Consider the following 23010-nt stretch of genomic DNA (forward strand, 5'->3'; position numbering starts at 1 on the left):
CCGCATTGTCATTGTCTCTTTCTGAGCCTAGAACGCCTAACACTTGGGTGTGGAGAGACTCAGCCTCAATTCACTTTCTAGCAGCCACTGAGATGTGCTTGCCTGGGGTGCCCCCTGGCAGGCAGGGCTGGAACTGCTTTCCAGTACCCACACGGACTGTGAACGAATCTTTCTTTGTGCTTTGTGTACAGAATGGAAGTTCAACAAATATTTGTTGAATGTGTATGTCCTTCCAATACGCAGCAGCCCAGAGCAAACGTGGTAATCTTGTGTGTGTTCATGTGAAAGCAGAATTTAATGGTGCTTTTAAGCACCAAAGTTTAAGATGCACGAGAAAACTGTATCTCCATTTTTTCCTTTTCGTTTACAATTACTTGTATAAGCCAGGCACGGTGGTGGCTCACGCCTGTAATCCCAGCACTTTGGGAGGCCGAGGCGGGCGGATCACATGAGGTCGGGAGCTTGATACCAGCCTGGCCAACGTGGTGAAACCCCGTTGCTACTAAAAATACAAAAATTAGCCGTGTGTGGCGGCACCTGCCTGTAATCCCAACTACTCAGGAGGCTGAGGCAGGAGAATCACTTGAACCGGGGAAGCGGAGGTTGCAGTGAGCTGAGACTGCACCACTGTACTCCAGCCTGGGTGACAGAGCAAGACTCCATCTCAAAACAAAAACAAAAAAACAAAAACAAAATTACTTGTATAGACCGTCACTATTCCTTACTTACTATGCTGATTGACAATGTATAGTATTTCAGTTACTCTGCGGGCTATAAATAGCTCTAATAGCACTTAAAAAAATGAATCCAGCTGGGTGTGGTAGCTCATGCCTGTAATCCCAGCACTTTAGGAGGCCGAGGCGGGTGGATCACCCGAGGTCGGGAGTTTGAGACCAGCTTGGCCAACATGATGAAACTCTGTTTCTACTAAAAATACAAAAAATTAGCCGGGCATGGTGGGGTGGTGCGCACCTGTAATCCCAGCTACTCGGGAGGCAGAGGCAGGAGAATTGCTTGAACCTGGGAGGTGGAGGTTGCAGTGAGCTGAGATCGTGCCACTGCGCTCCAGCCTGGGCAACAAGAGCAAAACTCCATCTCAAAAAAAAAAAAAAAAAAAAAAAAAAAAACGAATTCCAGCAATCCAACTTTTATTTATTGAACTTCTCCTCATACAAGGCCTTGGGCTGGGTGTTGACGGATGGGAAGGTTCCACTTTCTCTACTCAGAGAATTCATTGCGCCCAGCTCTGTGCCAATTTTTGTCCACAGGAGGATTTTACAATCTGTTGTTTCTGAATCACAAAGTATTAATTAACAAACAGTTAGCGGGTGTGGTGGATCATGCCTGTAATTCCAGCACTTTTAGAGGCCAAGGCAGGAGGATTGCTTGAGCCCAGGAGTTCGAGACTAGCCTGGGCAATACAGTGAGATGCTCCCCTACCCCAACCCCCCATCCAGTCTCCACAAAAATATTAAAAAATTAACCTGGCAAGGTGGCTCGTGCCTTTAGTCCCAGCTACTCAGGAGGCTGAAGTGGAAGGATTGCTTGAGCCTGGGAGGTCGAGGCTGCAGTGAGCCATGCCCCTCCACTCCAGCCTGAGTGACAGAGCAAGGCCCTGTCTCTAAAATAAAATAAAATAAAAATAAATAAAATAAAATAAAATCCATGGGATAATTTCTATGAAGTGATTGCAACTTGGAGAAAAATATAAACAAGCAGTGTTTATTTCTTATCTCGCATGTGGAAAAATGAGATTTGCATGTCTCATATGGGCTCTGCAGGCCTTGGAAATGTCCCCTGTGGAAATTTTCTGGGCTGTGCAGTTAATACAACCTGTATCCAACTCTCGTCGGATAATTTATTTAATTCCAGAAAATTGGGTAGTCAGAATGGAGGGTGGCAGAGATATCAGTGCAAGTAGTCAGAAGTACAGACTTTCTAGAACTACTAGGCTGAATAGAGGATTACACTGAGATAGGGTTTTCATAGAAATTTTAAGTTGCAAAAAATTTCAAACCAGAATGCTAGGATGAGAACATTTATTTAGCAATGTGGTATGCATTATAAAGAATATTTTCTCTTTCTTGCAGAGAGTTAAATCCAGTAATTTGAGATTCCATCTCCCGTGGGAGTTTGCTTTGAAAACATAATGACTGTAAGGTAAATAAATCAGAGTTGATTAATCATGTTACGGCAGCATACAATTTCATGAATACTTTAAGAATTGCATTATTCTTGCACAAATGATTATATCCAACTGATAGGAGCATTTAGAGCGTATTAACTAAATCCTCTTTGGTGAAAGTTGTGTGTTGTATCCAGACATTTCAGGTTAATCTGCTGGAAAGTCCCTTTGATGCTGTTCTTCCTTTCTTTTGATGTATGTTTTCTAAGTATCCATAAATCCTTGCTTGGCTAGTCAGAAGGGCTGGGAAGACCAAACTGGAAAAACTGCCCAGAGAAGGCAGGAGGAGCAGGGTGCTATGGAGAAAGAGTAGCCATGGTGCTGGGGCTCAGGAACTGTGCATTGACACGAATGAGGACAGCAGGGTGGAGGGTGAGAAAGAGCACTTGAGACTGGGCGTGGTGGCTCACACCTGTAATCCCAGCAATTTAGGAGACTGCTTGAGCTCAGGAGTTTAAGACCAGCCTGGGCAACATGGAAAAACCCCGAGTCTACAAAAAATACAAAAATTAGCCGGGCATGGTGGCGCATGTCTGTAGTCCCAGCTACTCAGGAAGCTGAGGTGAGAGGATCGCTTGAGCCTGGGAGGTGGAGGTTGCAGTGAGCCGAGATCGTGCCACTGTACTCCAGCCAGAACGAGACCTTCTCCGAAAAAAACAAAAACAAAAACAAAAACAAAAACCAAAAAAGCACTTGGGCAGCAGCCGAATTAGAAAATTAGATCTCCTCATGTGGAAGAGGGTCAGTGTGATTCCTAAAGCAGGTAGGAGAACCACTGATAAACCATAGACAAGCAAGAGTGTCAGAGTCCTTGTCTGCTCAGTTATTGTCAGTTATCATCAGGTAGAACAAGCCTTGTCCTGGTATTTCACGTACTTCAGAAATAAAGACAGCCTTGGCTGAGAACAGACTTGTTTCTGATAATAATAATATAACCCTTCACCACTGCTTGGTGTTTTAACGTTTTCAAAGTGCTTGATCTTATTTGAGCTTCAAAACAAACGTGTGAGGAAGGAAGGGCAGGGATCATTTCCCATTTCACAGAGGAATACGTTGAGAGATGGGGAGGTGAAATGGTTTGCAGACATGTGTCACTGCTGGTAAATAGCTTATGGGAGTATGGGCTCTGACCTTGCAGGTATCAACCTAGTTCTTTCTGTGTAGCACTGTGAGACTTCTGAGGTTGACTAGGAAAAGAACTTAGTCATCCATAAATCAGTAAAAGTCGTGGTAACATCTAGAAAGGGCTAACATCAGTGATGTGAAGTCGTCAGCCTGTGGTTCTGAGGGAATGGGCCACGGTCCTGGAGGATCCCCATGCCTGCGCCCAGCCCGACTGGGCAAGATGATCCACTCCTCACCACCCCTAGGTACAAGAAGAGCTCCTCGCCTCCTGGTGAGCCTCACAGGGTCTGAGAATTTGCCTTGCCTGAGGATCTCAAATGACAGAATTTAAATTTGGTGGTGTTCACAAGCTGAAGGAGTTTATTTTCATGAAAATTGGGAGGGAAAAGGTGGTGCTTTATCATTTCTTCTGGGGAAGTAATCTTCCGGGGAAGTGTTAACACTATTACCCTCATTTTAAAAATTAAGAAAACAGGTAGAGTGTGGTGGTGCATGCCTGTAATCCCAGCGCTTCGAGAGGTGGAGGCAGGAGGATTGCTTGAGGCCAGGAGTTTGAGACCAGCCTGGACAACAAAGCAAGACCCTGTCTCTACAAAAAATAAAAAAAGTTAGCTGAAGGCAGTAACATGTGCCATAGCCCCAGCTGCTGGGGAGGCTGAGGTGGGAGGATTGCTTTGAGCCTAGGATTTTGAGGCTGCAGTGACCTATGATCCTGCCACTGCACTCCAGCCTAGGTGACAGAGTGAGACCCTGTCTTACAAAAAGAAAATAAACAAAAATTAAAGAAACCAAGTAGAGAAAGGATATGTGACTTATTCAAGAGCATGGTCTACTTTGGTGGAAGGTGGTCAATGTGTCTCAGGCTGAAGTTGTAAAGTGAGAAGAACAGGAGGGCGACCTGAACGATTAAGGCAAAACTTCGAAATGTGCCCCAGCAGAGATTTATTTTTCAGGGGGTGTTTTGCATTCCAGCCCCTCTGCCTTCCTGGCGTTTAGTGCGATTTGTTTAGCCATGTGCTCCCTGGTGTGTGTTTTTGAATGTGTGTGAGATGGGTTGTCTCTCGGGACCTGGCAGGTGCGGCCACCAGGTCAGGGCTGCCCCCCAACCCTGTGCCTCCTTCCTCCTAGACTCTGGCCCCCTCAGTGCTGAGGGTGATACAGAGCACTTTTCAAGCTGGATTTGGAATGTGGCCTCTCCCCTCCAAACTCCTGGAGATCATGCAAAGGCCTTTGGAGCCAGCCAGTCACCTGGAAGGTGACATTCCCACCAGCTGAGGCCTCACCTTCAGCGGGGGCTGGGCAGCTTTGGAGCCTGGGGCCAGCCAAGCTCACTCTGCCCATATCCCTGCCACGTGTGGCCCAGCGGATGATCACCTGTCTTCATCTGCGTACTGGGCCACATCCCTCCTGCCGTCCCCCACTTCCCTGATGACACCTACAGCAAGCCCCTACCCAAGTGTTCTGTGATCCCCTGTAAATGTGGCCTCCCTAGCTACTTGCTTTTATGAAACCAACAATCCTGGGGACACAGTTTTCGGCTGTCTCAAGACGGGGCAACCACTCTTTTCCCCAGGCCTGTGGGTCCCAGGCCTGGAGCTAGGGTTGGCATTCTTGCCTGAATTCTCCACTCTATCCCAACCCCTGAGGCCGCCTGAGGAGGCTCAGACTGTGTCAGGCTAGGAGGACAGTCAAACCACAAAAACATGCCTTTTAAGAAGTATAAGCACAAATCCCTCTTTGATGTTATATAAAAGCTCAGTGTCACTGATTAGGAATCCAGCAGCCCAGGTCCCTGTGTGGACATGACGGTGTTGAGGGAAGCGGATTGACCGCTGGCGGTTGTGTCCACAGCGAGGAGGTGGCTCTCCACTGTTGCTGTGCCAGCCACGTTTCCAGGAGTGTGTTTAGTTTTGGACAGAGTCCAGTGAAAAATCCAATCTATTTAAACAATGGAACATCACCCATTTAAAAGGTGACTGGCCCATTTAAAAGGATACAGAGAGGACTGAAAAACCACAAACTATAAAGAGGGGTTGAAGGGAGTGGGAATATTTCCCTAAGAGAAAGGACTCAGAGAAGACCCCTGTCCATTTAATGAGTACTGGTTACATGCCAGACACTGGGCCAAGACACTTACATATATTAGCTCACTTAATCCTCACAGCAGCCCAGTGAGGGTCATATGAAGAAACGGAGGCTCAGGAAGGTTAATTAACTTGCCGAAGGCCACACAGCTAGAATGGGGCAGGGTCAGGATGTTAATATGAATCTGCGGCCCCAAGCCCTTGCTCTTAACCAGCTGTGTGTGTGTGTGTGTAAACACAGTCATATGTGTATGTATGTGTGTGTATATATTTGTGTGTGTCAAAAAGTTTAGGCTGGCTTTGTATGTCCACCAAAAGGACAACCATGACCTGTGGGCAGAAGTTCCTGGAGAACAGCTTTTGCTTAAACCCATTACATATACCCAACTAGAGTTGTCAAGAAGTGGCTTCAGGATGTGGTGGTTTCCAAAGGTAGTGGGTGGGATGTCTGTGGAGTGTGTCTCTGAGAAGGTGGCCAGGAAATGCATCTATGAGGTGATGGGAAGTAACTTCCTGGAAGGGAAGAAGAGTTCAGATTAAATTAAGGCTGGATGTTAGAAGTGTTAGATAAAACCCTTTGGAGGACCTGGTGGATGCTGGAAATTTGTTAAGCGAGCCATCCATGTAAAGTGCAGCAGGGAAGGGTGCGTCTTGGAGTCAGCTGGTGGGCGACACTGTGAGGCGACTAGCCCTGCGAACTCTTGGGAGGCTGGGACTGAAGAAGACTGAGGAGGAACAGATGTGCCCTGGGCTCCCTTCTCCAGCTCCTTAAAATACCTGTGTCCTACAGGGAGGACAGACGGAGAGATGGTGCCACAGAACCCAGGAACTGAGCCTGGGAGGCTTTGCTGCTTTTGGTGTTGGTTGAACAGGATTTGTTCATGGATTACTTTTTTTTTTTTTTTCCACGCAGGCTGGAGTGCAATGGTGCCAACACAGCTCACTGCAGTCTCAACCTCCGAGGCTCAAGTGATCCTCCTGCCCCAGCCTCTCAAGTAGCTGTGACCACAGGCGTGCACCACCACACCTGGCTAATTGTTAAATTTTTCATAGAAATGGGCATGTTGGCCAGGCTGGTCTTGAATTCTGGCCTCAAGTGATCCTCCTGCCTTGGCCTCCCAAAGTGCTGGGATTACAGGCGTGAGGCACCATGCCTAGCCATGGATTACCTTTTTGATTCCTCCTTTGCTCTTTTCTTTCTTGGCTTCTACTGGCTACATTTTCTTCTCACTTGTCTTTCCTATCCTTTCCTTTTAATTTCACTTTTGCCTAATGCAGTCATAAAGACATTTCTGTCAATGATGAACTGCATATCCAACGGTGGTACCATAAGATTATAATGCCATATTTTTACCATACCTTTGGTATGTTTAGATATGCAAATTCTTACCATTATGTTACAGTTGCCTTCAGTAATCAGTACAGTCACATGCTGTACAGGTTTGTGGCCTCGGAGCGATAGGCTACACCACACAGCTTAGGTGTGCAGTAGGCTATTCCATTGGTTTGTGTGGGTACACCCTATGATGTTCCCACAATAACAAAATTGGCTAATGACACAATTCTCAGAACGTACCTCTGTCATTAATCGAGTGACTGGGTATCATTTCTTCTTTCCCTCCCCTCAGTCCCCATCGCTGATGGCTCTTCTCCATCAGTAACCAGCCCCCACCACCACAGTGTCCTTTTTACTCTTCCTTCCTCCCCACCCTTACCCCTTGTGATGGGAGGAATGAGCAGAGATGGTGCAGGACCAGCCAGTTCCTGCCAGCAGACTCCCTGCCACCAGCAGCCGTTGCTAGATAAGTAGAATACACCTATTTCTTCAGGACAATTGAGAGAAAGTCTGAGTTTCCATCACTGGTCTGCCCTTATTAGCTCTCTGCCCTGGGGTAAGTGGCTTGCCCACACTGCCCCCGTTTCATGAGCTTATGTACATGGAGATTACGTAGGATTGTTACGAAGATGAATCAACATGACCCAGTGTATGAAGTAGCCTAAACCAGTGCTGGTGCATAGTTGGTGCTCAAAAAATGGCACCCGTTATTATTACTTAGAAACTTGTATAGCAGTTTGCCATTGCTGTGACATTTATATTGTAATTTACACAGGTTTTGATCCTCAAGAGATTAGGGAAAAAATCTTTCACTACTAATGTCATTATTTCCCCTTCTTTGCAAAAGCTACTTACTACGAATAGAAACATTTACATAACGAGTGAATTTCTCAAATGGTGCAAGAATCAACCGCAAAATAGGCCTCCTCTTTTGAGTTTGGGAGAGAATAAACAAACAGAAATGAAACAACCTGGTTCCTATGAAGCCTCTTCTTGCTTCTTTTTGCCTCCCTGCGGGCCCCTTTGTCAGCACAGGGCAGGTGCTGAAGAACTTGTGCTCATCTGGCCCAAGCGCCTCCTCCATGTTTTCATCCTTGACAAGCCCAGACCAGGAACTCAGTGTCCCCTCACAAGAGGACAAATTTAATTTCCTGCTTATCCAAGATTTGTTTTATTTGATATGTAGGGACAATGTGTTTATAAATGGTTAGCAGCTATTAAGAGTGTAGAAATGTGTCATTTTCTTAACAGATAGGATCACCAACCCTCTTGAAAAAAAGTTGACATCACTTTCTAATATGGCCCCTGTGTAATGTCCCCAAGGCACTGTGTGATGCCACAAAAGCAAAATAAAATATTTGAAGTGTGTAGATTTCAGTTTACAAAGGCCAGGCCTATTGTTTGCCAAGGAAAAGAAAGCAGGAACCACTGGGTTCTCCGACAGTACTTACTTGGCTTTCTTCCTCTAAAAGAATGAGGCATTATTAATCCTTTTATTTCTACCAGAGAGCACAGAGCAGCTGAGTGATAGATGTTATCTAGCTTAAATATGCACTGGGTAAGCATCTGAGTGCAGGTAGCACTGTTCTAGGAATTATGGGGCTCCTGGGAAAGCGTAATGTGTTTAGTAGCTTATAATCCATCAATATGAGTTGATGTTGATAAGTTCATTAATATGATTGATGAACTTATAATTCATCAACCCATCAAATGGCTGACAAGCACATGAACTATGCCAAAGGCGCTGGGGTGTGATGGTGAGCTGAGTTGGGGGTCTATTCTCTCTCAACTTACAATCAACAAGATGAGCATTAAACAGGTAAATGCACAAGAAAACATGTACTGTGTTTCACTGCATCTAAAGTACGGTTGATCATAAGACATATCACCATGTATGTACCACTGAAGTAAAAGCCTGACTGTCATTGTTGGATGTCGCCAATTGTAAAGCACGGCTCTCTATTTCACAGGTGTTAGAATGGGAAAGAATTGTGTGTCTTAGAATCTGTGTGTGTAAGAATTAACTTATAAGTAAATTAATTACTAATCACGGTGAGTTCTTTATAGAAAAGATGTTACAAGAAAGCCCAACAGAGAGCCCTGCTTTAGGATGAGTGACATTTCAGCTGAGGCTTGAAGGGTAAGGACAGGGGAGAAGAGTTGGTGGGATGCTGTCTCCAATGGGTGGTGCAGGAGATAGGTGAACAGCGGCGCAGGGGAGGGAGATCAATATGGTGGGGATAGTCAGGGAAATATTGGAGGTGGGAATTGAGCTGCATTTTGAATGATTTGAGGTGGAAAAGGAAGGCCCAAACAAGGGACATAACACTAGCTAAGGCCAAAAGCAAAAGATAATGGGTGAAAAATCCATTTTATAATTCAAGTGGAATCCCAAGAGACTCCAAATAGCCAAAACAGTCTTGAAAAGGAGGAACAAAATTAAAGACTCACTCTTCCTGATTTCAAAACATACTACAAAGTGATAGTAATCAACACAGTTTAGTACTGGCATAAAGACAGACATATAGACCAATGGAATACAACACAGAGGCCAGAAATAAACACTTACATGTATGGTCATCTTCCACAAGGGTGCCAAGACCATTCAATGAGGAAAGGACAGTTTTTCAGCATATAGTGGGGGAAGCTGGATATCCACATGCAAAACAATCAAGTTGGACCCTAATCTTCCACCATATACAAAAATAAACTCAAAATGAGTAAAAAACCTCAATGTTAGACCCAAAATAATTCAACTTGTGGAAGAAAACAAAGGGCAAAACTTCACAAACTTGGATTTGGCAAATGATTTCCTGGTTATGGCACCAAAGCCACAGGCAATAAAAGAAAAAATAGACAAATGGATTTTATGAAAATCAAAAACTTTTATGCTTCAAAGGACACTAAAGAGAGTGAGAAAGCAATCCACAGAATGGGAGAAAATATTTGCAAATCACATATCTGATAAGGAATTAATATCTGGAATATATAGCGAACTGCTAAAACTGAACAATAACAGTATCAACAGAAAACAAGCTGATTCAAAAGTGGGCAAAAGACTTCAGTAGACATTTCTCCAAAGATAGACAAATGACTCATAGGCACATGAAGAAATGCCCAATATCACTAATCCTTTGGGAAATGCAAATCAAAACCGCTATGACAGCCCACCTTACACCCATCAAGATGGCTATTATCAAATAAACCAAAAATAACAAGTGCTGATGAGGATGTAGAGAAACTGGAGGCTTTGTGTACTGTTAGTGGAAATGTAAAATGGTATAGTTGCAGTGGAGTACTGTATGGTCCTAGCACTTTCTGGGAAGATGAGTTAATTCTCTCTTCATTTCAGGGCCCATGTGCGTGGGTGGTGGGCTGGGAAACTTCTGTTGCTTCTGGGCTTCCTCCCCCATGGCTGCCGCGAGTCTCAACACTCACTTGCACCCTGGCTCCCGCCTGGCATCCTCAGCCTGCCCTGCTGCCTGCTCAGCGAATTCTACTCGTCCTCACCCAGTGTCCCTCAAGGCTTCCTTCAAATGTCCTCTCCACCAAGGAGCTTTCCCCGCCACCTGAGGCAGAGGAAACCACTCCTTTCTTGATTCTGCAGATGCAGATTCAACAGACACCTGGCACTGATGGGCACCGAGATGTCCTGTGTGTTCATGGAGTTTATGTTGGGGTTTGGTTGGGGGCACCCCCGAGCTCCCCTCCACAGTTCAGAATGAAACAAGAAATAAGACAGGACAGGCAGATAAAAATGTCAGCTTCAAAAGCCAGGATAAAGTGACTTGATACCCCTTTCTAAACTAGACAGAATCAACTACCTGCTCACAGCTGCTGGCCTCTTTCTTGGTGGCACAACCTGCCCCAGGCAGCTTCGGCTGCAGCCAAGGGTGAACCAGGACACCCCACCACCCCCAGGCCTTCAGGCAGTGCCACACTGGAGAGGAGGGCAGAGGGCATTGGCCCTCAAAGGGCCAATTCCATCCCCCAGACTCATGGATGAATTATGTCTCTACTCCCCTAGAGAGGAGGAAACGATGGAGTGAATGAGAGAGAGAAAGAGAGGGCACACTGAGGTGGAATTCGACCAGGGGGCATCCTCATAGAAATATGAGAACAGGGGTGGGATACCCCCTCCCGGGGCACACCTTACATTGCACAATGGTTGTTTTTCTGTCTCTTTTTTATCTGAATGTACACTTTTGCCAGCAGTAAAAATTGCCATATTTGCTTTTGTGCTCCAGCATTTAAGAGGGGCTCAGAAAGTTCTTGGGAGGTGTTGTTTGCTTAAGTGGAATGGGAAGGGGACAGGACATCTCTTTCCAAAACTTAGGTTTGGTGACTCCTGGATTTCACACTCTCTGACTGCTTGGGTGAGGGTGGAATGGAGGGCTGTCCCCCACCCTCGCACCTGCACGGTGGCATGCTTTCCTCCTACTCCAGGGAATTCCTCGTGGCCTCATGGCCTGGGCTGTTTCTGGCTTCAAGCTCCACGTGGCCTGGCCCCAGCGGTCTGGTCCACCTTGTACTCGGTGCCCCCGCTGCCCCCTGGCCTCAGCTGGAGTGACGCACCTCATCCATGCGGGCCTGGCGTCTGGAAGGTGGCTGGGTCTCTCGGGCTTGAGCACCATCATCTTAGCTCCAACATGTCATTATTCCTTCCTCACTGAGGACTTTTCTGCTTCCTAATTGGTTGTTGAAGATGAGGCCCCCATGCTCTTTTAAGAAAACCTGTTGTGCCCCAGGCTTGGCTGTGATGGGCACTGACTCATACAGAAGTAGAAAGGCCTGCTGAGTCATCAACACTCGTGCGACGCCCTCGCATTTTCATTAATGATGGCCTCCCTGCCACACGTGAATCACTCCAGCCCGAGATCTGAAACCAGGACACACCCCAGGGGCGAGGTGACGCTGAGTGAGCCCAGCTGTGTCCCTTTCATGAGAACTCAGAGCACAGGGCTCTGTGTGCATGGCCGTCCCCTCCAGAGAGGAGGAAGTAAATGCCGGGATTAGTGGAAGATCATTTCCTTCTATTTGCCTTGGCTTACGTCTTTCAGAATTCAAACACGTGCACTGTTGACCCTGCAATGGTGGAGTTTTTGGATTTTCCTTCAGTCCGATTGCTAAAATACTTCCCTCTCATGTGAGCTGTTGTGAAAGTCATCAGCCAGATACCATTCTAAAAACAAAGAATGTGCTTCTCGTATGTTGCATGCTGGTTACTGAAATATTAGGGAATTACATAAAGGTTTTCTGGGGCACATATTCAAGCTGAATGATAAAATTGAAGGTCACACAAAGCTAAGGTCTTTCAAATCCTGACCCAATTAGCTCTCTGTTAGCTCTCTGACTTTGGACAAGCTGTCTGGTCCTCTGAAGCATACTTTGTTCGCCCTGGGTAGGGGCCCTCTGTTTTAACAGCGTTTGGCAGATGAAAACATTTGCAAAGCCAAAGGACAATGAAATCTACGGAAGCCTACCATATGCCAATGACTCCACCAAATGTTTTCTCTTCTTGGGATCTTCTAAAATTCATCTGAATACTTATAAGTTATGCAAATTTTGGTTATTAATCTAGGTTGTATTACCTTGGGGGAAGTCAGTTAATCTCTTTGAACTCAGTTTCTTTATCTGTGAACCTGAAAGAACACCTTCAAACTCCAAGGGTGGCTGTCAGAATTAACTATAGAGGTGCAGGTATCAGATGAAAGCTATAAAACAGTTTACAGATCTTAGATATTATGATGGATGGCTATGATACGTTTCTCGAATCACTGCTTGCCAATGAGCTGTACAATCTTCCTGAAGGGGTCTGCCTTTCCAATCTGGGCAGCAACAGTTAATGACGGTGTGCCAGGATATCTGTGTCTCCTTTTATCTGCTCCAGACTTTAAACACACCCTCTGATTACATCACACTATCAATTTGAAAAAGGGCTCAGAGCCAAAATCACCACTGTTAGCGAGTTCTCCAGGGCTGCCTCCTATCCTCTGGAGGTGGGGCTCTCGTCTGCAGAAATAGGCATAAGGGTTTTCTATGGTTTTTGTTTGTTTTAAAGACGAAACATGTTTTGGGATCTTTTAAGAATCCTAATCGTTGTGAAAGAAACTGAAGTAAGTTACTGTTCAAGTGACTCTCATTCTGCTGTGAATAGTTTCTCCCACGTGAAGTCAGCTCAAGAGACTGTGAATTGCTTCAGCCTACCTGAGACCTGGTACACAGGGAGGCTTCCTAGCCACGGAAGAGGAGAGCGTTTGCAGGAGGAGAAGGAGGAGAGAGGGCCCACGCAGGTGACATTCTGGAAAGGGAATGCTGGTGCGAAACTGCCTCACCTACTTTGCTCCTTGGATGTTCAGGAAAAGCCAGCCCCATCCGCCCCAGTCCGAGGGCCTCACTCATGGAACAAATGAAGCTGAGAAGAGGAGCTTCCTGTTTTCCAGCTGCTGGGGTCATCATTATCTTCAGGAAGGACCCCGAAAAGCATCGTGTGTTGTTGCAAAGGCCTGCCTTATCCTGGCCCCCAGGTCCCTCTCCGCTGGCCCTGTCTACTGGATAAGCTGAGGTTGCACGAAGTAGGTCCAGGCCTAATGTGACAGTGAATAATATGGTGTTTGGCCACACAGAGATGTGTGTAGGTACAAAAACCACCATGCTTTTGGCGGCAAAGTAAAAAATGAAGATGTCGTCAAACGATCTGAACTCTGATGGAGACTGAGCGAGAGACCCTGGCCCAAAACAATCACTCCATGGCGGATGCGCTCTGGGGTAGACAGCTACTGCTCTCAGAGCAGCTGTTTTCAGGCCACAAGGCCGGACCATTGTTCAGTTACCTGGCTTTTGTCTGGTTCAAGCACCTGACAGGGATCTGGGAAGGTCTTGTCATGTTTCCAGTCCTTTGAGAAACTGCTGCTCAGGGTTCAGGAAAGACGCTGAGCGGGCGGGCACGCGCCCCATGGGGAAGCCTGGCTGAGACGGGAGGTCTCGGGAGCCTCCGTCTTACTTGCCACCTGGTTGCCGCCCTCCCCTCGGAGACCCCCTGTCTGGAGACACGCCCCAATGTGGCCCCCTCTCGCGGGCACGTGCCGGAAGCAGAGACACATCTTGGAGCCGTGGAGGACGGTGCCGGCGGCAAAGTCCCAGGCTGGAAGAGCCGGGGGAGAGCGAGAGCCCCGGCCCGGCCCAGAGAACAGTGGGCGCCGCGCCGCCTCCCGCAGGGGCGCAGACGGGACCCTGGCGCCGAGCACAGCCGGGCGGTGAGGAGGGACCGCCGCCTGCCACCCGTGCGCCGCGCCTCCCCAGTCCTCCCTCTCTTCTGGTGCTCCCCGTTTCTTTTCGCCCCGCGGCCACCGCGCCGCCTCCCTCACTCGCGCCCCGATTCTACGGCACCTCCCTGGTGATCCCAGGTCCTAACAGGGCGGCTGTGCCTCCTCCTCAGCTGCACTTTTGATTTCATCCCTTGTGCGGCAGAAGCTGCCAAGCTCTGTCCGAAACACCCCAAGGCCCGGTGACCGGTGCCCAGGCCTCGCTGCCCAGCAGCGCCTGCCCTTCCGTGGGGCTGCGCCTTTGAGCCTGGTCGGCCCTGCCAGCCCGGGCCTGACGACACGGCCGCGCCCTGCGCTCCAGCTAGGATGGGCACATGAGTGACCACCCTGGCACATAAGGCCTCCCTGCGAGCTTCCCTGCAGGACGGAGCCACTGTAGCTGGCTTCATGAGGCCCCCTTATCCGAGACCTCCCTCGCCTGGATCGTCCCTGCTCCCTGCCAGTGCTCACTGCATCTTCCACCAAGTTGCTGGCACGCAGGCATGCAGTTCTGCCCAGGTCTACATCTGTGGCCTTTCCCTGACTCCTCATGGGCGAATCCTCCTCTCTGCTCCTTTGAGGCCCTCCCTGCTCCTCGACCCTGGCACCCTGGAAGGTCTTCCATGCCGGCTCTCCCCCTGCTCCTTCCCTGGAGTACTTTGCCTCCTCTGGTGACCTCAGCCATCAGGGATGCAAGGACATAGCCCACACGAATATTTCTAGCCTGCGTTTGGCATGAGTTTTAGACAAGCCTTTCTAGCCTGCTTCATTTTCCCACCTTGCAAGTGCCTCCCGCCTCCTACTCAGCAAGTTTTAAATCAGACTATTGTCTCCCCTCATGACACAGATGCGTTGCCCTGGGGCTTATTTTTTTTTTTTTAGAGAGTTTCACTCTGCCACCCAGGCTGGAGTGCAGTGGCGCAATCATGGCTCACTGCATCCTCAATCTCAATCTCCCTGGGCTCAGGTGATCCTCCCACCTCAGCCTCCTGAGTAGCTGGGACTACAGGCATGAGACATCATGTCTGACTGATTTCTGGACCCATTTTTGTAGAGCTGGAGTTTCGCTATATTGCCCAGGCTGGTCTCAAATTCCTAGGCTCGAGTGATTCCCCCACCTCAGCCTCCCAAAGTACTGAGATTACAGGCATGAGCCATGGTGCCCGGTCTGGAGACTTACTTGTTTTTATTTCCCACTGCACAGATATAAAAATATAGTCACCTTGGAGTCTTTCCTCTCTCTCTCTCACCCTTTTTTACTTATCTATTGACAAGTCATGATTTTTTTTGTATTTAGTTTTTGTTTCATAATCATAAACTTAACTCTTCAATCTGGCTAGAAGTGGAGGAGAATTAAAAAAAGGAAGCTCCAAAAACTTCAGCAAGAGCATGAAAATTATAGGATATTATGAACAAATGGGTGGAAGTGTGCTCTCCTGAGCTACAGAAGGAATGCTCTGGTGATTAAGAGAAACACAAATCAAATTTATTGGAGTTGTCCACATTTGGCAATGGTGATCTTGCTGGTCTTGCTCTTCCTGGACCCAAAGCGCTCCATGGCTTCCATGATATTCATGCCTCCTTGCACCTTGCAAAGACCACCTGGCTGCTGGCCCACCACTCAGTTTTGGCAGTACAGATGAAAACCTGGGAACCATTTGTGTCGGGTCCAGCATTTGCCATGCACAAGATGCCAGGACCTGAATGCTTCAGGATGAAGTTCTCACCATCAAATTTCTGCCCATAGATGGACTTGCTGCCAGTGTCATGATGGCGTGTGAAGTCACCACCCTGGCACATAAGCCCTGGAATAATTCTGTGAAAGCAGGAGCCCTTATGGCCAAATCCATTCTCTCCAGACCTCACAGCATGAATGTTTCCTGCTATGTTTGGAACTTTGTCTGCAGCTAGCTCAGAAGAGATGTGGCTTAAGGGCTCAGCAATGTCATAAAACATGGCAGAATTGACCATGGCTGGTGGCAGGGGATCCTGGGGGCATTGGCAGCTACAAAGCCCATGATTGTTATTAAGATATTTAATATGTATTTTTCCATTTCTGCCACCAAATTTATTTGGCTACATGCTACTGTACTGCCTCAGGGTTATGTTTCTGGAGCGCAGCTCTGACTGTGTGGATTTCCAGCTGCGAAACACTCCAGGGCTTCTCATTATCCAGCAAGCAAACTCTGTCCTCTCTCTTTCTGCTTAGGGGCCTTCCTTGCTCCACCCCCAGTAAGTGAGACTTCTCTCCCTTTCAAGAGTGTGCCCTTCGCTCACTCTCGTCAATGTGAGCTATCTTACCTTCCTTTGCTGTCCTCTCCTGCAAGGTCTGAGAGCCCAGAACCGAGTTCCAGAGGACTTTATAACTCCCCTTGAGCCTCGCTGGACTGAGTTCGTGAGTCTGGAATTATGTGGTGTTCTTTCAGTTAGGCCATCCTTGAATTCACCTGAGTTTTCTCATAAACCTTCTGGCCTTTCCTGTGCTATTCTCTGGATGAACAAAATTAAGTCATTTTACAAAATTCTGACCACACATAACTAACACATAGAGTCAAAGTGCTGGACATTTGTAATTTCTAGCCTTTCCTTCTCCTTTGTGACCACATCTTCACTCCCCCAGGCCCATAAACATAGCTATTTTCCCATTCAGAATGAGCAGAGTAAGCCAAGAAGAAATCACTAAAACAGTAACAGCAACAAGGTGTTTCCCATAAGGACTGATTTTGCTTGCTGCTTCCTAGAGCATTGGAGTATGTTTTTGGGAACCCAAAGGTTGTCAAAGGCTCTGGAGGATGAAAATCCTATGAAAATATTCTCTCTTTGTGACTTTGAATTTTTCCTACCATTTCTACAACTAGAAGTTTGCTGGCTGGGGAGAACAAATTCTTCCAAGTTCTTATGTGCTTCTGGACATAGATGATGAGTATTATTAAAACTTCTACTTCTGTTTGGAATACGGATGAAAACTCCTAGACTAGATTACTAAATGAATTATAATTCATACCAGCTTTGGGAAATAAGTTGCCAAGGGGCTTAACGACACAGAGATTTAGATTTAGAGAAATATGAGATTTTCAAAGCTTGACATGGGTGCCTCTTCCTTTTATTACCATTCCTGAGAATACATTTTTTTTTTCTTGAGACAGAGTCTCACTCTGTCTCCCACACTGGAGTCCAGTGGTGCGATCACCAGTCACTGCAGCCTTGACCTCCCCCCGCTCAGGTGATGCTCCCATCTCAGCCTCCTGAGTAGCTAGGACTACAGGTGTGTTCCACCACACCCAGCTAATTTTTCTGGAGAATAACTTTAATGCATAATATTCTACCTAGTATGGGCTATAGAGAGTACTATAAATTTTTTTTTAAGATTAGGAAAGGGCAGTTCTAGCATGCCATTTGAATTTGAGGCAGAATAATTTTCTGGTCCTTCTCCCCTAAATAACTTGACCAGACTTGAATGTGATTGTTTTTCACAAGGAAGGGCAAGGCCCAGCTGTGTGCTCAGACCTGTCCTCTTAGTTTAATGTTTATGGTTAATGTGCATGGGCTTAGGAGTTTATTTCAGTGCATTATAGTGCTAATAAAATAGGATAGAGACATTAACAGGGTTTGATGTGTGTCTGAGTTCAGAACGCATCTTAACATGCTTGATCGCAATCAATGTCTTTCAATGCAGCCCATCCATTGTCTCTTGTGTTAAAAGATCTTTTTTCACTTTTTTCATTAAAAATTGTAGTAAATGCACATGTGCACACACACATAACATAAAATTTACCATCTTAACTATTTTTAGGTGCACAGTTCAGTGGCATTAAGTACATTCACACTGCTGTGCAACCATTACCACCAAGCGTCTCCGGGAACATTTCCAACTTCCCAAATAGAAACGCTGTACTCATTAGACAACTCCCAATCCCCTCTCCTCCCAGCCCCTGGCAACCACTCCATTCTCTTCCTCTATGAATTGGACTGCTGTGAGTATCTAAGTGGAATTATACATATTTGTCCTTTGTGTCTGGCTTATTTAACTTAGCATGATGTCCTCAAGGTTCATCCATGTTGTAGCATGTGTCAGAAATTCCTTCCTTTTTAAGGCTGAATAACATTCCATTGCATGCATAGACTACATTTTGCTTCTCTGTCCATTCGCTGATGGGCACTTGGGCTCCTTCCACCTCTTGGCTGTTGTGAACAGAGCTGCAATGAACATGGATGTACAAATATCTGTTCACATTGAGATCTCTCTCCTTTGGAAAAGGCAGGGCAAATGTGAAAAAAAAATCATACTTTCCTGATTTATTGTGACTCAAAATTTCCCAAACCTACTTCTTATTTTTGAAAAGTAGATGTCACAATTAGTAAAAATCCTGAAAATTTTGAGTGAAATATGTTAGGTGATTTCCCTTCGTAAGAATATAAAAGAAGTAAAATAAAATGATGCTGAATCTTTAGAGAGCTTCCATGTTTACATTAGATGTTGATTTAAACATTTTTCTAAATAAGAGATTTTCCCCTCGTGGATGAGTGTCAAGAAATAATCCGACGTCATAGCATTTATAGTCCTAGATAGTAAAATTTCAAAATCCAAGGATCAGAATAGTTAGAGAAACCTGAGAAAAACCTAAATAAGGACCTGTAAAAAGCTACTAACTACAACCACGAGATTATAGATGTTTGCTGATATTGTTCTCAGTTTGGTTATTGTGTTGTTTATGAATGAAAGTAGTGTATGTTTGTGTGAATTTTTGTTTTTAATTTTTTATGAGTGCCCTAACAAAGATTACAAATTGGGAATACAAACTCCAGAGCAATGGAGACAGTGACACTTTTGTGGAGGGGTACATGTGGCTGTTCGGGTGGTTATTAACACAGGCTGCTGCCCCTGCCCTGCAATGGGAATCCCCAGGGCATTGGAGGATTCAACCTCTTGCAGTTACCTCTTGTAAGACAGCAGATGGCAGCAGAGAGAGGCTTTGCACATCCCTGCAGGTTCTAGTTTGCACAAAGGGCTTCTGAGAGACCTATCAACCAATTATAACATCAAGTGGCAAAAAGAGTCCTTGATAAGTTATTTCGCTTCTCAAAGAAACCGAAAACGCCAAACTAATCACTAGTCTTGTTTTTTTTTTTCCTGGCAAAAGCCTGCTATCTTTCATGATTTAGCTTTCATGAAATTGTTCCTGAAGACCCCCAAAAGAAACAATTTCATGCCCCGAACTCTGTTCAGAGACTTTGCTGTGCCTGTCATGTCCAGCTTGCCATATCCTGTTTTGTAAAGTAGCCACCTTATATACACACCTGCTGTCTGCACTGTGACCTCCTTTCAAAATCATCTTTGGTTCTTCAGAGGCCTGGAATAATGCTCTGCCCAGATGAAGATCTCCGTAAATGTGTTTTTGAAATGGCTAATCAAATAATGGATACCCTTAGGTATTTTTGCAGAAACACTTGACAGCCTTCCATAATATCCCTACTATGAAATGGAAACTTGTGAATGAGATGTGGCTAAGTACTTTATCCATAAAACTCCAAACTTGAATCATGTTGGTAAGTGAACTGATGTTAAGCTAGCAGGAAATTGTTGGTGGCATTCCTTATTCAACATTTTTATTGGCTTAAGTGACCATAGAGAAAGCACGCTCATGAAACTGACAGATGACATAAAGTTGGAATGAATTGCTAATAAACTGAAGACAGGGTTCAAAAAGATCTGGATGGACCAGAAGGATGAGCCCAAACCAGCAAGATGAAATGTAACAGGGACAATGCAAAGCCCTGAATTTAGGTTAGAAAAATGGGGGTGGGGGGGCGGCACCTGGGCCACAGAGCAAGACTCCATCTCAAAAAAAAAGAAAGAAAAATGGGGGGAAGGGTAGACTTTGTGAAAAATGGGAGACAATGCTACTATCACTTAACAAGGAGATGGTTCAGTAACATTCGATGGGACATTGTACATTGTTAAAAGAACAAATTTCTATACATGGTGACATGAAAGGATTTCCTTTTTGTTTTTGTTTGTGGGTTTTTTTGTTTGTTGTGTTTTTTTGAGATGGAGTCTCCCGCTGTTGCTCAGGCTGGAGTGCAATGGTGCAGTCTTGGCTGACTGCAACCTCCACGTCCTGGATTCAAGAGATTCTCCTGCCTCAGTCTCCCAAGTAGCTGGGACCACAGGCATGCACCACCATGCCTGGCTAACTTTTGTATTTTTTTAGTAGAGAAGGGGTTTCACCATGTTGGCCAGGCTGGTCTCAAACCCCTAACCTCAAGTGATCCATCCACCTCGGCCTCCCAAAATGCTGGGATTACAGGCGTGAGCCACCACACCTGGCCAGACCTAGAAGGATTTCTAAGACATATTACTAAATGGGAAACAATCATAGAAAAAATGATGTAAGAAATGCAAACCAACATGGTCACGTATGTGTTGTGTGTCTATGTATATAAGTATGAGTATATTCAATTGCACAGGGGAAAAGTCTGGAAGGATATAATCCAGATGTTAACACTGAAACTTCCAAGCAGGGGAGTGAAATGAGACTTTCACTTTTGACTTCGTATACTCCTGTATTATTTAAGTGAAAATGTATTTATATATTCTATAATTACAAAAATCACATTGGTTGCCTTTTCATTTTGAAATGAGCAAAAGTGACAGGGCTGTTAAAAAGCTAAGTCACTTGAGCAATAACGTGATGTCCAGAACAGTGGTTCCATGGCTCAGCCATGTCGGGGGCTGCACTGAGGACAGGGGGCCATCTGCCTTCTAGGAGGACACTGTGGACTGGAATATTGTTCCTGCCTTGAGGAGGAGTCTCCCAGCACAGTTACTGCTGCTTGACTGTCAGAGCATGCGTTTTCTTAGGGAAGTTGAAGGCAGCCTGTATCTAGTAAGGTGGTATGCAGTAGTTGCTTAATGCTGAATGTGTGAAGGAATGTGGGGCTGTGGAGCAGGAGGATAAAGTCTGAACTTGGACCTGTTGTTCTCAGCTATTCGAAGCTTTCTCAAGTGGAAAATAGACTGACTTTGGGTCCATCAGAGGGCAGAACAAATGCTGGAGAGCAGATGCTAGAATTCCGTCTTAAAACCATGAATCCTTACAGCGGCCTGCGTGGCCTGCGCCATCTGTCCCAGCCACGCCCTCCTTGGCCCCATCTCCCCCTTTCTCGCCCTGACTCTTTGGCATCCTGGCCTTTCCGTCTCACTGGGATGCTTCCCTAAGAGACTCGTGTGGTTTGCTGCCCTGTATCCTCCGGATCTCCTGACCACCCTATGTTAGTTACATTGCAATTTCCCGTTTCCCTCATGACGTCTTATTTTCCTCCATTTAAATTACCTGCAGCAGGTACCACCTACAGGGATCTGTTGAGAGTCGGCCTCCTTCAATGTGAAGCCTGATGTTTTGTTCTGTTCACAGCTATGCCCCCAGCCCCTAACAGTTGGTGGCAGTCAGTAAATATTGCCTGGGAAAACGAATCATTAGCCATGTGCAGAAATGGAACAGCGTCTCACCAAGTTGGGGTTGCCCCTGGACCCTGTGAACACTGGGGCAGCTGGGGTGTTCCTACTGTGCTTGTTACCGGCTTCAGGAATCAAATGCACTAGAGAATTGTAGAAGTGCGGTCCACATCCTCTGTGTGGTAGGACCAGCTGCTGTTGGCCTCTGAGCAGGATCTCTTACCTCTCTGAGCAGTGCCTTCCTGTTGCCCTCAGCAAGAATAACACTAACAGCCTAGGACTTCAGAGCACTGCTGCGAGGTGCAAATGAGGTGATATGGGAAAAGCATTTGGTGAGATGTATGGAAAGTGTAGAGACCCTGACCAGATGAGTCAATGGCCTTCTTCGTTACTCTGTTGACCTTTCTTTAATTACAGAGTCGCATAGCTGTCACCACCTTATCCTTTTTTGCTGCTATATTTGCCCCCAGCCATTCCTCTCCCGGCTTATGTGGCTAGACTCACCTGCCTGTGCTGCAGTTACTCCAGGCTTTGTGTAAATGTGCATTTTTTTCCAGCCCCCAGTTTATCAAGCTTTGCTTGAGTCACTTGTATCTGAAATACCATCTGTCACTCTTCCAGGTTGGGATCTGTCTAGTGGAAAACAGATGACAGTCATATGTTACTTAGTGCTTTACTATGTGGAGAACGTTTACATAAATTATCTTATTTCATTGCCACTAAGCCGGGGAAAGATTCAGGAAACCCATTTTAAGATGAGGACACTGAGGTCAGGGTAAGTGAGTGAGCTTTTACCCACCTCTCAGCTGCTCTCTAGTTGTCAAAGACCAACCCGTGGGGGTGGCTCAGGCCCGACCCCTGCAGCATATTCCTTGGGGCCTCCCAAGTGGGCCCGATCTGCTCACCCCAGCTGTGACTGTCTTTTGACAGGAGGAGGGAGCAGCGAGGCTGCACCCACTGCTCATAAAAAGCAGAGCTTGTCCACGCCGAGGGCTCGGCTGGGTGGGAGGCCGCTTCCACAAGGCTTTTTCTTGCTCCATACAAAGTGCAGACTGATGCTTTGAGATATAGTCAGGATTATCATTTTCAGAGCTCAAGCTCTAATTTCCAGGCATGTGACCAGACCTCTCTATCCATTCCTACAAGTGGTCGAGAGTAGCCCATAATTATTTTGGCTTGGTCTTTTAATAGCTTGAGAGTAATAATCTACATAGCTTGTAGAAGTGAATGTACTTATTTTAAAAGTTCTGTGTTTTTTGATGTTGTTGTTGTTTGGGACAGGATCTTGCTGTCGCCTAGGCTGGAGTGCAGTGGCACAATCTCAGCTCACTGCAGCATGGACCTCCCAGGTTCAAGCAATCTTCCCACCTCAGCCTCCTGAGTAGCTGAGACTACAGGCACATGTTACCACGCCTGCCTGGCTAACATTTTTATTTTTTATAGAAACAATGTCTCCCTATATTGCCCAGGCTGGTTTTGAACTCCTGGGCTCAAGTGATCCTCTCGTCTCAGCCTCCCAA

At 46.2% G+C, this 23010-nt stretch overlaps 1 long non-coding RNA gene and 1 pseudogene across 1 annotated transcript, besides 2 other annotated features; both read right to left on the reverse strand.

Annotated features, from left to right (window-relative positions):
* Positions 10990–12189: an enhancer, noted in NCBI's record as "P300/CBP strongly-dependent group 1 enhancer chr13:20748586-20749785 (GRCh37/hg19 assembly coordinates)". NCBI's record gives its function as "activates an origin of replication core promoter dependent on BRD2, BRD4, P300/CBP, MED14 and CDK7 cofactors, with strong dependence on P300/CBP, by STARR-seq in HCT116 cells {active_cell/tissue: HCT116}" and the evidence as "EXISTENCE:reporter gene assay evidence [ECO:0000049][PMID:35650434]".
* Positions 11291–11834: an enhancer, noted in NCBI's record as "H3K4me1 hESC enhancer chr13:20748887-20749430 (GRCh37/hg19 assembly coordinates)". NCBI's record gives its function as "activates a minimal SCP1, AML or CMV promoter by ChIP-STARR-seq in naive H9 embryonic stem cells {active_cell/tissue: H9 hESC(naive)}" and the evidence as "EXISTENCE:reporter gene assay evidence [ECO:0000049][PMID:30033119]".
* LOC107984553 (uncharacterized) lies at positions 15499–22734 on the reverse strand. Its single transcript, XR_001749956.2, has 3 exons — positions 21995–22734; positions 16336–16524; positions 15499–15681 (listed from the first exon to the last, which is right to left on the reverse strand). It is a non-coding gene; the product is annotated as an uncharacterized LOC107984553 (long non-coding RNA).
* On the reverse strand, positions 15607–16005 carry PPIAP28 (peptidylprolyl isomerase A pseudogene 28; annotated as a pseudogene).

This window comes from Homo sapiens, chromosome 13 (genome assembly GCF_000001405.40).
Source record: "Homo sapiens chromosome 13, GRCh38.p14 Primary Assembly".
NCBI lineage: Eukaryota > Metazoa > Chordata > Mammalia > Primates > Hominidae > Homo > Homo sapiens.